The sequence below is a fragment of the Homo sapiens genome, chromosome 14 (genome assembly GCF_000001405.40).
Source record: "Homo sapiens chromosome 14, GRCh38.p14 Primary Assembly".
Taxonomy (NCBI): domain Eukaryota; kingdom Metazoa; phylum Chordata; class Mammalia; order Primates; family Hominidae; genus Homo; species Homo sapiens.
In genome coordinates, this window is record NC_000014.9 from 75002564 (window position 1) to 75017568 (window position 15005).

Consider the following 15005-nt stretch of genomic DNA (forward strand, 5'->3'; position numbering starts at 1 on the left):
CTGGGAAGACAGGAGGGAGTGCCGCAACTTCTTCAGTGTAGCCTTAAGTCGCGGTGAGGGGCGCGTAGAGACTTGCTGCTCCCATAGCAACGGGACCAGCCACCCTCTACAGGCCTGACGGGTTACTTCCGTTCACCGTCGGCTGAGCCAAGAAAGGCCGCTTCCGATCCTCCAGCCCCCGAGGCGCGGGGGCGCGCGGACGCCCGGTTATAACTGAACAACCCGAGCCCCACGTCTCTGATTGGCTCAGGCAGAGGAAGGGGGCGGGAGATCGGCAACGAAGGGCGTAGCCGGCTTCCACTCAAACTTGAGGTTTCCCCCCATCCCCTCACAGCGGAAGCCGACCTCGCCCGCCCCGGAAGTGCAAACTGTGTGGTCTGGCAGGTGTGGATTCCGCCGGTGAAGGCTGAAGGCAGCTACCTTAAAGATGCCGGGATCCGCAGCGAAGGGCTCGGAGTTGTCAGAGAGGATCGAGAGCTTCGTGGAGACCCTGAAGCGGGGTGGTGGGCCGCGCAGCTCCGAGGAAATGGCTCGGGAGACCCTAGGGTTGCTGCGCCAGATCATCACGGACCACCGCTGGAGCAACGCGGGTGAGGCCGGCCTGCCTCCGCCGGCGAACCTGGCCCCTGTCTGTTCCCGATCCCAGGGCTGAAAATTTCCCAGGCCTCACTTCGCGTTGGCTCCTCTTATCCTCTCTCTTTTGGACTGTAGGGGAGCTGATGGAGCTGATCCGCAGAGAGGGCAGGAGGATGACGGCCGCTCAGCCCTCCGAGACCACCGTGGGCAACATGGTGCGGAGAGTGCTCAAGATTATCCGGGAGGAGTATGGCAGGTCAGGCTCACGTCCTGGGCTCCTGGTTGGATCCAGTGACACTTTTTGCACGGGCCCCTCTACCTGCTCGGAGACTTTATTGGAGCTGAACAGCCCTTGTTACCTGCCTGACCACTCCTCCCCACCTCTCTCTTTGGGTCTTGTTGCCTCTATAGACTCCATGGACGCAGCGACGAGAGTGATCAGCAGGAGTCCCTGCACAAACTGTTGACATCCGGAGGCCTAAACGAGGATTTCAGCTTCCATTATGCCCAACTCCAGTCCAACATCATTGAGGCGATTAATGAGCTGCTAGTGGAGCTGGGTAAGAGGCCTGATCGCTGGGAAAATGGGACTGGTCACAGGCACATAAGGGAACAGAAGCCTCTGAAGGTTGTTCATTAGCAGAGATGGGAGATTAGCTGTCTTCTGGTTCTCAGAGGTTTGTCCTCCTTCCTGATTAGGAAATGTTGCAACAGGTGACAGGACCAAAGTAATCCTCTCTACTTTTCCTTACAGACCAACCCTTGATAGACTACAGATCTGTGGAGTGGAACAGACTCTATTAGGACAGAGTTTTATTTTCATTGTAAAGAAACAAAATGAACTCCCTAGAGAGCCAAGGTCGATAGACCTCCTTCACTATCTGAATTTTTATACACACGTACACGTATACCATTTCTATCCCCCTTGTCATTGCGGTCCAAGTGACTTGCAGATATTCATTGTAATCAGAGGATGAAGAAGCTGCTTCCAAATTGCTCCCCCATTTTTTCTTCTCTGGCCAGTCTCTCTCATGTAGAAGTGTTGTGGCCACCTTTTGGAGGAAGACTTCTTTTAGGCCGAAGCTCTCTTTACCCTATTCTCAGCACTTTAGGATTTCCCAGATTGCCATTCCTTGGCTGAATCTACTGTCTTCAAAATCAGTTGTAAGGAGCTCTGTAGTGACAGAGGTGGTTCATAGGTAGGGGTACTTCTGGAAGAGGGCAGGCAGAAAATCCCAGAGGAGTGGGGCTTTTAAGAAATTGTGACATAGCTGGGCATGGTGGCTCACACCTGTAATCCCACAACTTTGGGAGGCCAAGGTGAGTGGATTGCTTGAGACCAGGAGTTCAAAACCAGCCTGGGCAACATAGTGGGACCCTGTCTCTATTAAAAAAAAAGAAATTGTGACATTTCACTTTAAGCACATTAACCCTGTGGTACCAGGGTCTGCTAGGTGGGCAGTGCATGTGAAGGGCAGACATCTTTTTCCGTATACGCGTAATGTGTGTTTGTGATATAGCAATTTCATATATATATATATATATATATATTTTTTTTTTTTTTTTTTTTTTTTTTTTTGCAAAACCGTTCTTACAGAAGGGACAATGGAGAACATTGCAGCCCAGGCTCTGGAGCACATTCACTCCAATGAGGTGATCATGACCATTGGCTTCTCCCGAACAGTAGAGGCCTTCCTCAAAGAGGCTGCCCGAAAGAGGAAATTCCATGTCATTGTAGCAGAGTGTGCTCCTTTCTGCCAGGTAAGGAGACTGCTGGAGTTGCTACTAAGAAAAATGAAAAATGAAGAAGAAATAAACGAGAGATGGGTAGGGCCATTCCAACCTTGAATTGATAAGCAAGACTTTGAGACACTGAGAAGATCAAGTAAAACATTAAGTGAATTTTCAAGGTGTTCGTCCTGTGAACATTCATAAATAGTGGTTTAAGAAAGTTGGGGCCGGGAGCGATGGCTCATGCCTGTAATCCCAGCACTTTGGGAGGCTGGGCGGGTGGATTACCTGAGGTCAGGAGTTCGAGAGCAGCCTGGCCAACATGACAAAACCCCGTCTCCACTAAAAATACAAAAATTAGCTGGGCGTGGTGGCACATGCCTGTAATCCCAGCTACTCTGGAGGGTGAGGCAGGAGAATTGCTTGAACCTGGAAGGCAGAGGTTGCAATGAGCCAAGATAGCGCCACTGCACTCCAGCCTGGACGACAGAGCAAGACTCTGTCTCAAAAAAAAAAAAAAAGATGGCGAGCTGCTGGGTTCAAGGAAAGATAACTTGATTCTTTTAGGAATCAAAGCAGGGTAAATTACCTTGGGGATGACTAATGCTTGGTCTGACCTCACTTGATCCTAAGTAAATAATAGGTCTCAAAAAGGAAATATGTAAGGATGCAGGTTGTTTTAAAATAATGAGCCAGGAGCTATCTTGTCAGCAATCGTGATTATATTATACATGCATGTTGTATTTCCAGTTTTATGGCTGCTCTGGTGCTGCTGTGGAGCATTAGACATTTATTAGCTTCCCCTGGGCTTCCCTACAGCTTACCAGAGCTATGAGAGTCTGAAAAATCAGTTGTCCGAAAAATGAGTTATCTATTGGAAATTATGTGCTGGATATGCCCATATCACACAATTCCCCAGATCCAGTTACATTTGAGAGCACTTTTCACTATTTCTCACTCTTTCTCTTAGAATCAGCCTTTCCCTCCCATTGCAGGGTCATGAAATGGCTGTGAATTTGTCCAAAGCAGGTATTGAGACAACTGTCATGACTGATGCTGCCATTTTTGCCGTTATGTCAAGAGTCAACAAGGTGGGTATATCTGGAGTTATGTTGAATTCATGAAGATTATGTTTCTAAAATATTGATTTTTATCTCCTCCTGTAATATCCACGGTGAGAGAATAAAGTTTCTAGCACCTTTCAAAGTACATACTTAGGCCTTTTTAATCTGTTAACTGAATTTCTTTTCCCTTTTTTCTGCATCATTGTTCCTCTCTTGGAGTAGCCTCTAAATTTGGTTGAAGCATTGAAAAGAATGAAGTATTAAATAGAACTAAGGCAAGAGTGTCAGTTTCTAGGGATTGGCTACAGGGCTCCTGCCTTATGCTCAAAGAGCTTGGCAGTTGTGGATAGTGAATGAAAAAGATTCCTGGCTTCTCAGAAGGTATGGCATCTCAATTTCCAGAAAATATGGGACTGAGAGCAGTAGGTTTTGCAGTTTCTTGTCCCATTTTACATTCATTCTTTCCTTGGAAACCTACTTTTAAGCTAGAACTTGTATTGAGCCAGGGATCCCTTCACCTCTACCAGTCTGTGACCCCTCACGATACCAATTCTGAGGTCTAAGCATTTAGCTTTTTGTGGCCAGTGGCCCTTTTAGGGCTCCACCCCCAGGATGGCTCACATTTTTTGTCTTGTCCCAAAGGTGATCATTGGCACGAAGACCATCCTGGCCAATGGGGCCCTGAGAGCTGTGACAGGAACTCACACTCTGGCACTGGCAGCAAAACACCATTCCACCCCACTCATCGTCTGTGCACCTATGTTCAAACTTTCTCCACAGGTAAGTGTGTCTGTCTCTAGCTAGAAGCCAGCAGAAAAGAAGGAAGCCAAAGGGTAGGCTTGAACTCTGGGACTTCAACCACCTCACTCCAGGGCCTCCATTTATCTGCATTTACTCAATGGATTACACCCAGTGGAGGCTGGAAAGAACCACAGAAGTCTTGATTCAGTAAAACAGTTGAGAGTTCTCAGCTGTCAACTTTAGGAAGTCAAGATTGTAAGGACAATATGTAGTTGGGAAAGGTCCTTTGCTTACGATTGCCACCACTCCCTGTCGCCTGACCATTTCTGAAAATGCCAAGCAGGTTGAAAGTAGGATCATAGAATCAGTTTTGTTATTGTTGCAGGGCCTGTCCTTTGTAACCTGAATACAAGCAAGGACTAAGTGAAGAGCCATTTCATCAGTGATAGAAGCTATTTGCTTTGAAAACATCAACCTATTTATAGGTCTCTATTTTTTAAATTGAGGTGAAATTCACATAACATACAATTAACCATTTTAAAGTATACAATTTAGTGATATCTAGTACATTCACAGCATTGTACAACCACCACTCTCTAGTTTCAAAACTTTTTCTCCACTGTAGAAAAACACCCTGTACCCATTAAGTAATCTCTCCCTATTTGTCCTTCTCCCCATCTCCTCCAATCTGCTCCTGTCTCTATGGATTTGCCCATTTTGTATAAAAGGAATCATATAATATGTGACATGTTGTGCCTGACTTTTTTCACTTAGCATGATGTTTTCAAAGTTCATCCATGTTGTAATGTCAGAATTTCCTTTCGAGGCTGAATAATATTCCATTATATGAACATACCACAATTTATTAATCCATTCATCTGTTTATGGGCATTTGGGTTGGTTCCAGCTTTTGGCTTTTGTGAATAATGCTGCTATAAGCATCTGTGTATAAGTTTTCTGTGTGGACATATGTTTTCATCTCTAGGGTACATACCTAGGAGTGGAATTGCTGGGTCTCTAGTTTTTATAAATTTTTTCCTTTTTAGTTCCCCAATGAAGAAGACTCATTTCATAAGTTTGTGGCTCCTGAAGAAGTCCTGCCATTCACAGAAGGTACAGAAGCTGTGTGTGCATGCGTGCATGTGTTGTGTGTATTCGGGGTTTGTGTGTGCATGTGTTTTGGTCTTTTTGTTGTTTTGTTGGTCAGTAGAACTGAATGCTGTCAAGTTGTGTTTTTTATCATACTTCTTGTGGGGACTGTTTTCTTTAGAAGCTCAAAGTGCTTGAGGACCTGACCAAGTCCATGTTAATTTGTTCTGAGACAAATATATTTTAGATTTGTTGGGGCTATTGTGGGTTGGATCATTTAGCATTGTCTGGGTTTGGCTTTGCATGCTGTTTGAGATATAGACAACAACCAGTTGGGAAAATGTACCTGTTTTCCTGCTATAAGGAGTCATTTTGGTGAATTGACTCCCAAAGGAAGCAGGTTGTGAAATGTTCCTCCTTAGAAAACTCACCTGTAGCCTGGATAGTCTCATGTCTTGGGGTTCTTTTCTCTGGCTTCTTCTGAAGGCAGCAGCTCAGCTCATTACGCGTGCAGCCTCATCAGCAAGGGTGGCCTTACACACCATCTGAGAGCAACGCATAGTAGTTGGTTGGGGTCCTAGTTCCTCTTGGAAGTTGATTGACTTCATCCCTTTATTTAAATAAACATTCAATCTTCAAGAAATAGTTATTGAGCACCTACAATGTATCCAGCACTCTTCTAGGCACTGAAGATAAAACAATGAATGAAAAAGATAAGGCCCTGTTCCCACACATTCTATTGTGGAAGACAGATGAGAAAGTATCAGGTCATGGGATGCCTGAGGACAAGCAAGGCTGATGTGGTAGAAAGTGGCTAGGGGCCTGAGATTGAGGAAGGGTCTTAATGAGATGACATTTCAGCTGAGTCCTGAATGAACAGAGTCCACCATATGAAGATCATAGTTTTCTATGAGCTGGTGCAGGGGCTTAGCCAGTTAGAAAAGGATGGCCATACATGGCTAGACAGTAATGAGCAAGGGGGAGAGTGGTCCAAATTGTAATTCATGTGGTGTGTCAGGGAGGGCCCAGATCTTAAACTTCAATCCTGAGTTTGAATTTTATTCTGAGGGCTGTGCAGAGGCATGGGAGAGTTGTAAGCAGGGATTGTCATGATCTGAAGTCATCTCTTCTGGTTTGCATTTTTCCATAGCTTCCCGTCCTTGGGGAGCTAATATGCCTGCATTCTCGAGCCTGGAATCTATATGCTACTTAATTATGAGAGAGGGAGCCTCAGTTTTACCTTTAGCATGTGTGCTTGCCTTTCAGGGGACATTCTGGAGAAGGTCAGCGTGCATTGCCCTGTGTTTGACTACGTTCCCCCAGAGCTCATTACCCTCTTTATCTCCAACATTGGTGGGAATGCACCTTCCTACATCTACCGCCTGATGAGTGAACTCTACCATCCTGATGATCATGTTTTATGACCGACCACACGTGTCCTAAGCAGATTGCTTAGGCAGATACAGAATGAAGAGGAGACTTGAGTGTTGCTGCTGAAGCACATCCTTGCAATGTGGGAGTGCACAGGAGTCCACCTAAAAAAAAAATCCTTGATACTGTTGCCTGCCTTTTTAGTCACCCCGTAACAAGGGCACACATCCAGGACTGTGTCTTGCCTTTCAGATCTTAACAGAGCAGCAGGGCTTAACTTGTTGATTTTGGAGCCTCTTAGTGACCTGGTTGCGTCTGTGTCAGGAACTTAAACTTTCTGGTTCAGTAGTGTGTTAAACATAACACTGAATACCTTACTGGGATACAGATTTTTGCTCAGAAATGGCTATGACACTTTTTCTAGGCTCTACCAATAAAAGCCACTTGAAGGTTCCATAGTTGGTTTATTTATTGTCCTACTCTGACAGAACTGCTTGAAACAGCAGCAGCAGAGCCTTTTTTGTGTTTGCATAGAGGGCTGTAGTTAGCGGGAAAAGTGTACAACATGGTAGTACTGGCCAGATGCAGTGGCTCCCACTTGTAATCCTGGACTTTGGGAGGCTGAGGTGGGAGGCTTGTTTGAGGCTTGTTTGAGGCCTGGAGTTTGAGATTAGCCTGGCAACATAGCAAGATCCTGTCTCTACAAAAAAATATTTTAAAAAATTAGCCAGACATGGTGGCACATGCCTGTGGCCTCGCTATGCTGGAGGCTGAGGTGGGAGGATCACTTGAGCCCATGAGTTCAAGGCTTCAGTGAGCTATCATTGTACCACTGCACTCCTGCCTGGATGATAGAGCAAGACTCTGTCTCTAAAAAAATAACAAGTACAAATGAAAGTATAGTTTCCTTTACAATTCACTGCTCCTGGCCCCAAAGTTTGTTCATAGTCTAAAACAGTAGTTCCAAAACCTCGCTGATCATCAGAATCACCTGAGAGTGATTCCGATCACTCACTCACACAGTCTTGGGTTTCATCTCAGTCCTACTGCATCTGATCTCAGGGTTACTACCTGGGAATCTGTTTAAAGCTTCCCAGAAAAGGATAGTCTCATGTAGTGTTTATAGGACTATAAATTGGTACAGCCTTTTAGAGGGCAATTTGGAAGCTGTATTTCTAGAATTATTTGTACAAGCAAAAAGATTTATACAGAGTGTTCAGTGTAGTAGTTGTAATGTCATAGCCTAAGTGTCCAGCAATAGGAGAAAGGTTAAGTATTGACAGTTACACCGTGGAACATTATACATGGCAATAGAAGTTTCAAAAGGATGGCTGGAGGGGCAGTGTCTGGATTGAAGGCATTTGGGCTGGTTCACTGCATTTAATGTGAATTTGTTACCAATATTTAAAAATCTGGAGATTGCACATTTCAAAAATTCAGATTTCTTGCTTTTCTTGAAAACTCAAATTTGGCAACTCTGGGCCAACATTTCCAAATGGCAGTAGTTAGTTTGTGGTTGGGTAACATCTGATGCCATTGGATGGAACATCTCCAGTTTTCTGCAGTTCCTACTGGATCCATTTAACTCATTTATGTTATCTGCCTAACCCCTGTAGGCATTTGAGTTGTGATCCTGGTGTTAAAAGAATGGGACAGATTTGCAAGGAAGTCCATTTGATACTCTGTTAGTTAAAAACAAGCTGGGGAAAAAAAACACAACAAGCTGCAGAGCAATATGCATAATACGGACTCATTTCCATAAAACAACACTGGCTGGGCGCAATGGCTCACGCCTATAATCCCAGCACTTTGGGAGGCTGAGGAGGGCAGATCACTTGAGGTCAGGAGTTTGAGACCAGCCTGGTCAAAATGGCGAAACTAAAATACTATAATAAAATTTTTAGTTCCACTAAAAATACAAAAATTAGCCAGGTGTGGTTGTGGGTACCTGTAGTCCCAGCTACTCGGGAGGCTGAACTTGGGAAGTAGAGGTTGCAGTGAGCAGTGCCATTGGGCCACTGCACTTTAGCCTGGGCAACAGTGGGTGAGACTCTGTCTCACAAAAACAAAACAAAATTATATGTACACGCATAGGGAAACAGTATAGAAGTATAATACCAAGCACAGCAAGCAGAGGGACATCCTCTAATTTTGTTGACATGTTTATGCTTACATATTGTTTCCGGTTTTTAACCTAAAAAGTCTCCCAGGTGATCCAGATTTTCTGCCATGTTTAGGAACTAGTGGTCCAAAGCAGGGCCTCTTGTGCAGTGTCTGTGTGGGTGGAGGGAGCACTAAGAATCTGCATGTTTAACAAATAGCCTGTGGGCTTTGAACAGGTGATTTGAAACCACATTTTGGTTAACACTGGGCAGAGGTAGGTTCTGAGGGAAAGGTCTCTATTCTTTGATATCTCTTTGAGAGCGATCTTTGCCTTAGGTCTTCCAGAGAGGGGAAAAAAGTAAGACCTCAGAAAGTCGGCATTTTACACTGACCTAAAAGCTGTATGACTCAGAAGAGCCTGACTCACTCAGGCTCAGTCTTTCTATTATTTCTTAAAGCATCTAAGACCCCACGCTTTCTCAGTGAAGTGGCTTGTAGCTACCAATTACGAGCAATTGTCTCCTCCAAAGGCACCAATTCTAACAGCAATTCACTTGGGTACAATTGTGTGGTTTGGAGTAAGAGCAGCAGTGAGGCAAGGAACTTAAATCTGTTCCTGGCTCCAAAAATGCTTTATGATACTTGTCCTTTGTCCATCTTAGTCTCTGTGTCTAAAATTAGCACCAACATCCTTCCCAGGCATGACTGAGTTGGATGAAGGTTATAAGGGTAGAAGCTCTCTTTCTGGTCAGCTCTTACAGTGCCTAGAACAGAACTGCAGGAATGCATACTTTTTAGAATCTTTATGACCCCAATTAAGTAAACCCTATTAAGGCTCATCTTCTTATTTCCCCTCTCTCCGTTTCCCTATTTGAGGAGGGGTAAGTATCAGAAAGAGAGAACCTGAACTGAACAGGAGGAAACAGAAGTTCCACATCAACTCACTACCTGTCAGCCTTGGTATCAGGGGTGCCCACCTCCCACCCCTGCCTTGCTGGCGGAACCGAGAAACTCGGAAAAAAACAAACAAAAAAACAACTGTTGTAGCTTGGAGAGAATTAATAGAACTAGGATTCCATGGATGTGAAAGTCTTCCTCAATATGCTAAATAAACCAAGTTAGATAACAGTGCAGTTTGTAAAGACACTTTTTTCCCACGGTTTCTATCTTCCAGTTTGGGCAGAGGGCAGGAAAGGCACAATTCTTGGAACTTGAATAAGGAACAGAAATTCCTAATTTAGCCTCAGAAGAGACATCTCTGAAAAATACTCTACCAGGAAAAACTGAAGTGTAAAATGATACCTCAAAGAAATCAATGCTGGAACCCATAGGATCATATGTTTCATGGATGTGCTTCAAAACTATTTCTCAAAGCAATCTGTTGCATCAGTCTTTGGGCTAATGAAGGCTGCCAGTCACAGTTCCATCATGGAATGACTGGCATACTCTGTAATGATCTATAATACTACAACTACATCAGAACTGCTCTGCCATACAGATAGTACCAGATGGTGATGTGATTATTGTAAAGGCCTCACACTATCCACCTGTCCTTGCAAAAACTCCCTTAGCAGACATGCACCTAGTTGACATGAAAGAACAATTTTGAAATGTGATTTGGAAGTGTTTTATATCTGGCCTACTTTGCTTTGAATTATTCTTTCATTTGCCAAAGAGCTCTTGCAAGGTACTGCACAATGGCTAGGCAATTATTATTATTAATAGTAAAAACTGCAATTGCTTTTGCACCAACTTAAAGAGCTAAAGTCTAAGCTTCCAGTCTCCCAGCATCCCTCACACGATGGAGGGCAGCACTTGAGTCTAATCATGCTTGAGATGGTGATTGCCTGATATGTATATTAAATACTATGCTGAAGAGACGGATCCTTTCAATAGTGTTTTTTTCAAGCATGTTACATTTAGAATTAAGACCTGCCTAGAAAATAAGCTACTTAGTGCTGAAGAAACAAAAACTTGACAAGATTCCTAAGTTATCATTTATATGTAATATTCTTCCTACAACACTGGGTTTGGAAGGATAATAAATACATAAAAATAAAATTCTGCAGTTAATATGAAAAAGAGGTAATGCAGTGTTGAATAATGAGAAACTGCTAATTGCGGTAGCTAACTCCAAGCCACTTTTTTTGGACTGCTCGGCCCATCATGGGGCATTCCTTACTTTGGAAGTAGATAAGAGCAAGTTGGAAGGCCAGAGTCAGGCAAGGCTGGCCAAATCCCACTTCTGCAGGCTGCTGCTTGAATCATCCTGGCCTGATAGATTCCCACATGCAGCACACTGCGATTCCCACACGCTTGGATCCGGTTGCCTGGACTATATCCGATGCTTCTGGGTAAGACTGAGTGCTCTGTAACTAATGGGCCTGGGGTGAAAATGATCCAAGGGTTGGAAACATCCTAAGCCATGTGATAACCTCTTTTTTTTCTTTATATCCCCCACAAGTTCTGATACAATACATTTAGAAAGGAACTCACTGAAGATTTGCTGAATGAAGAGAGGGATGGAAGGAAAAAGGAAGGAAGGAAGGGTTTATTTGATGCAGATTCTTCAGCATTTTGTTTTCACAGACTCCCTTCTTTTCCCCTCTTCTGGACCCACCTTTTTGCCATCTCACCGTTGATGAGCAGCTTCAGCTTAGAGGGTAAAGACAGGCATGATCGCGACTGGCCAGCATACTGGCCGGTTCTCTCTGTTAGCAGACTTTTGCCAAGGGTTTGGATGGAATGGGTGGCTCTTCAGGTGGAAAACAGGTCGTGGGGGTCAGGTTTTGGGTGCCTGAAACTGCTCTTCCTTCACTCCACTGTGCCATGACTGGCTCCCACCCGAAGCTTCAGCTGAGCTGGCTTGTCAGGGCTCGCTAGGAACTGCTGAGCTGCATCTGTCCTTACTTGGCGTGGCTTCCTCAGCCCCCTCCACATCTCAAGAACGTGGCCTTGGGCCCCTTTCTGCTCTGACCATTTTGCTTGCCTGGGTTTTTTCACTGTCTGCCATGCGCAGATCCCAGCTGTTCATTTGTACCTGACCTCTGACTGCTAGAACCTCTCCATTCTTACATCTCATGTAGTTCCAGGTCCCCAGCCAGGTTCTGGATGTTACCCAAGCCCCCTCCCCATTCTCCAGCTTCATTCTAGCCTACACTTTATGCTTTGCCTTAAGCTTTTCTGATACTAGCTCCTATTACCATCTCTAGTCTTAATTCTGATAGTGGGACTGCTAGCTCCTCTTCTTTCAATAATAAAGGGCTAGCTGTAACTAGCTGTGACTCTGTGATACCTAACGCCAGAAGAAGCTACTATATTCTATCATTAGTTTCCTTGTCTTTCTCAGTGACTAAAGCTAAGCCTCTTGAAGGTAGAGACAGCCATAGGAACCTTCACTTCTCAATGAAGTGTTGATGAATGTTACAGAAAAAGGAACTCTCAAGAATGGCTGCATTTTACATCTCATCTCTCAAGTTTTACTCTGAAGTTACTAAAGCCTTCAGCGACCAGAATCTAATAAAGGTGAATCACCAAGTTTATAAATGAATGAATTCCTAATAAATTAAAAATATAAGGGATAGCATATGGGTAATAATGGGAAGGACTGTGCAGTTTGAAGTCACTCAGACCTGGGTCTGAATTCTGGCTCTTACAGCTAAGCCTTCAGCAAACCAGTTAACAGCTCCGAGCTTCGAAGTTTTATTATACAAAGGTGACAACTAGGTTCCTAAGAGGAACCTTCGTTTCCCACTTTGTAAAATGGTGATAAAGCTACCACCTTACCTCATGGACTGTCAAGAAACTAAACTAAGATAAAGTATGAGAAAAATTATTTTGTAAACCTTAAAGCACAATATAGGTATTAATGATTACTATTATAAATTACATGTATCTTTGTTCTTATGGCATCTGAGTTAAAAACAACATAAAACCCTAACAGGCGATAAAGGTAATCTATTAGATATTTTTCCCTAATAGGTTGTTTTTATGCTGAGGCATGCCCCCACACTTATAAATTATGAAAACAGAATAATTATCTCTTACATTGCTTGAGTCAGGCTAGTCAGGAAGGCCGGTTACATAATTTATGGAGGACTTTTTCTAATCCTCTGCTACTCTCAAGAAAACAGTAGTTGGGATTACATATAGCAAAACCTTCTGAAATCATAAGAGGCACTGAGACACTTTTTAAAATCCCTCAAATTGGTCTGGCCTTAAAAGATTTTTACAACTCCCAGGACAGTTGGCCTCCATGCAGCCCTCAAGCAGGGAGGCGGAGGCCCTGAGGCCACACTGCCACACTGGGCCTGGAGGCAGAGCCCCTGACAGCCTGGCAAATCCTCTGAAAACTCTCTCCTTTCTAAGGTCATGTCTTCCCATCTATAAAACATCCGTTTATATGTATTTAGAAGAATAAAAGCCATTTTTTAGACAGTAGGGCCTGTTCTTCAGGATTCCAATTACGTAAATCTACAAGGATCCCCTTGAAAACAAGTGAAGGTTTTCTCTGAACCTTCTCTGGGGCAGACGCTAATGAATGCAATACTTTCATTGCTCCTGTAAGATTCACTTCAAGGCTGCTGGCAAAGGAACTTTTCTTCCATGAGCACGAATTGGTTTCCTGTATTAAAAAATGAGGAAAATCATTCAATTGATATAAAAGCCACTTTGAGCAGGCTGGTCAGGAAATACAAAAGTAGAAATTCTCATTGCATCATCTTACTAATTGTATAGCACCCCAGTTGCAATAAACATTACCAGCTGGCTTTTTGCATTTTTTTTCTACTATGCAATTTTAGTCTGTTGAGTCCTATTAACCACAAATCATGTGAAAAGGTGCGGGAAAAATAGATTGAGAATGGCATAACAAGCATTTGCAGAACGATCAGTCCTGGTCCCAAGTGATATTATAAGGGCAATAGATAGGCATAATGTAATAACACCAAGATACCGTTTGAAAGGGACCCAAAGAACCCTTGTCTCCTGAAAGAAAAAGTGTAAAGATATTTGGTTAGGTTGAACGTATGTATGCTGTGTTTTGATATGACAATTGCTTTCACATAAAGAGATACTTTATAAAGTACCAAAAAAAATCATATTTTAAAAAACAAGCTCATAGTATTTTCACCATTTTACTGGTTTGGGATATTGAACATCAGTCTCTGAGTTTTTAAAGAAAACATAACAAAAAACCCGGAACAGGACTTTAAATTTTCTCTGTTCTATCCTTGTCCTTTTTATCAATAGTTTTTATCCCTAAAATAACTAAAGGCCTGATGAAAGACCCTAGAGAATGTTTTCACTGTAGTAGAGAAACTCTTTAAGTCTGAGATGTAGCACATGAAGCAGCAGCATAGGGAAGTGAAGAAGACTGAAGGGAAAAGAGGGGACCAGTGCAGAAACCCTGGGGGCAGCCTGGGAAGGCAGACTACCCCTTGGACTTGAGCATCAGCTGAATTAGATACACGCAAATGTGAAGCTTGAAAAAAAACTGTACAAAAACAAAAATCACACCCTTCAAATAACAAACCAAGCAACCAATCAAACTGTCATTAAATTTTATCATTAAATAAGTAGCAAAAGGTAGATACTATATAGCAACCTTCTGTGCCCATGGATGCAAATGAATGAATTGTCTTTAGGCTTGAATTTCATCTGGCTACTCAACTAGGGGAATCATCTGCTCAAGAAAGACTGATACAGAGAGCCCTGCTGTCTAAGCTGCTCAGGGACACTGGGCTGATTCAGTCAGGGCCGTGCTGGTACCTGCTGCTGCTGCTCTCTGCTCAGAGGCATACAGTGAACATCCCTTTGTTCCTTTTAGACCAGTGATTCTGTTCTCATGGTGGCTCACAGGGAGGCATGGATTGCTGCAGGCTCTGCCTTGTATCACACTCTGCTTTTCCAAAGAGACGCCAGGCCTGGGCCATTTTGCGAAGTTTAGTGAGGTTGGGTTTAATCTATGGGAAGAAAGAATAACTTCAATTAGCAATATGAAAAGGTAGGTAGCATACAGGCTGGGCGAGGTGACTCACACCTGTAATCCCAGCACTCTGGGAGGCCAAGGCAGGCGGATCACAAGGTCAGGAGTTTGAGACCAGCCTGGCCAATATGGTGAAACCCTGTCTCTACTAAAAATACAAAAAAAAATTAGCCGGGTGTGGTGGCGCATGCCTATAATCCCAGCTACTCAGGAGGCTGAGGCAGGAGAATTGATTGAACCTGGGAGGCGGAGGTTGTGGTGAGCCAAGATCATGCCACTGCACTCCAGCCTGGGCGACAGAGTGAGACTCCGTCTCAAAAAAAAAAAATTGAAAATGTAGGTAG

At 43.7% G+C, this 15005-nt stretch overlaps 2 protein-coding genes across 13 annotated transcripts in view, besides 1 other annotated feature; one reads left to right on the forward strand and one right to left on the reverse strand.

The window, feature by feature from the left end:
- Nucleotides 36–716: an enhancer, noted in NCBI's record as "H3K27ac hESC enhancer chr14:75469302-75469982 (GRCh37/hg19 assembly coordinates)". NCBI's record gives its function as "activates a minimal SCP1, AML or CMV promoter by ChIP-STARR-seq in naive H9 embryonic stem cells {active_cell/tissue: H9 hESC(naive)}" and the evidence as "EXISTENCE:reporter gene assay evidence [ECO:0000049][PMID:30033119]".
- On the forward strand, nt 358–9803 carry EIF2B2 (eukaryotic translation initiation factor 2B subunit beta). Its single transcript, NM_014239.4, has 8 exons — nt 358–590; nt 712–832; nt 988–1136; nt 2174–2337; nt 3303–3398; nt 4014–4151; nt 5159–5225; nt 6468–9803. Exons 1-8 carry the CDS (start codon nt 428–430, stop codon nt 6623–6625), a joined length of 1056 nt encoding a protein of 351 aa, NP_055054.1. The 5' UTR covers nt 358–427; the 3' UTR covers nt 6626–9803.
- Nucleotides 11212–15005, reverse strand: part of MLH3 (mutL homolog 3) — a 37693-nt gene continuing 33899 nt past the window's right edge. For 8 of the 12 annotated variants that reach the window (XM_047431265.1, XM_024449538.2, XM_017021219.3 and 5 more), the window contains one exon: nt 11212–14638. In XM_047431265.1, the coding sequence (XP_047287221.1) occupies nt 14519–14638 (120 nt within the window). In that variant the 3' untranslated portion in view covers nt 11212–14518. The remainder of the gene's footprint in view (nt 14639–15005) is intronic. The other 4 variants (XR_007064005.1, XR_007064004.1, XR_001750225.3 and 1 more) reach the window with 1 other exon arrangement.

Coding starts and splice junctions, on each gene's coding strand:
- EIF2B2 (NM_014239.4), top strand. CDS start 428: ATGCCGGGATCCGCAGCGAAGGGCTCGGAGTTGTCAGAGAGGATCGAG. Junction 833..987: donor ATCCGGGAGGAGTATGGCAG/GTCAGGCTCACG, acceptor TTGCCTCTATAG/ACTCCATGGACGCAGCGACG. Junction 5,226..6,467: donor AGTCCTGCCATTCACAGAAG/GTACAGAAGCTG, acceptor CTTGCCTTTCAG/GGGACATTCTGGAGAAGGTC.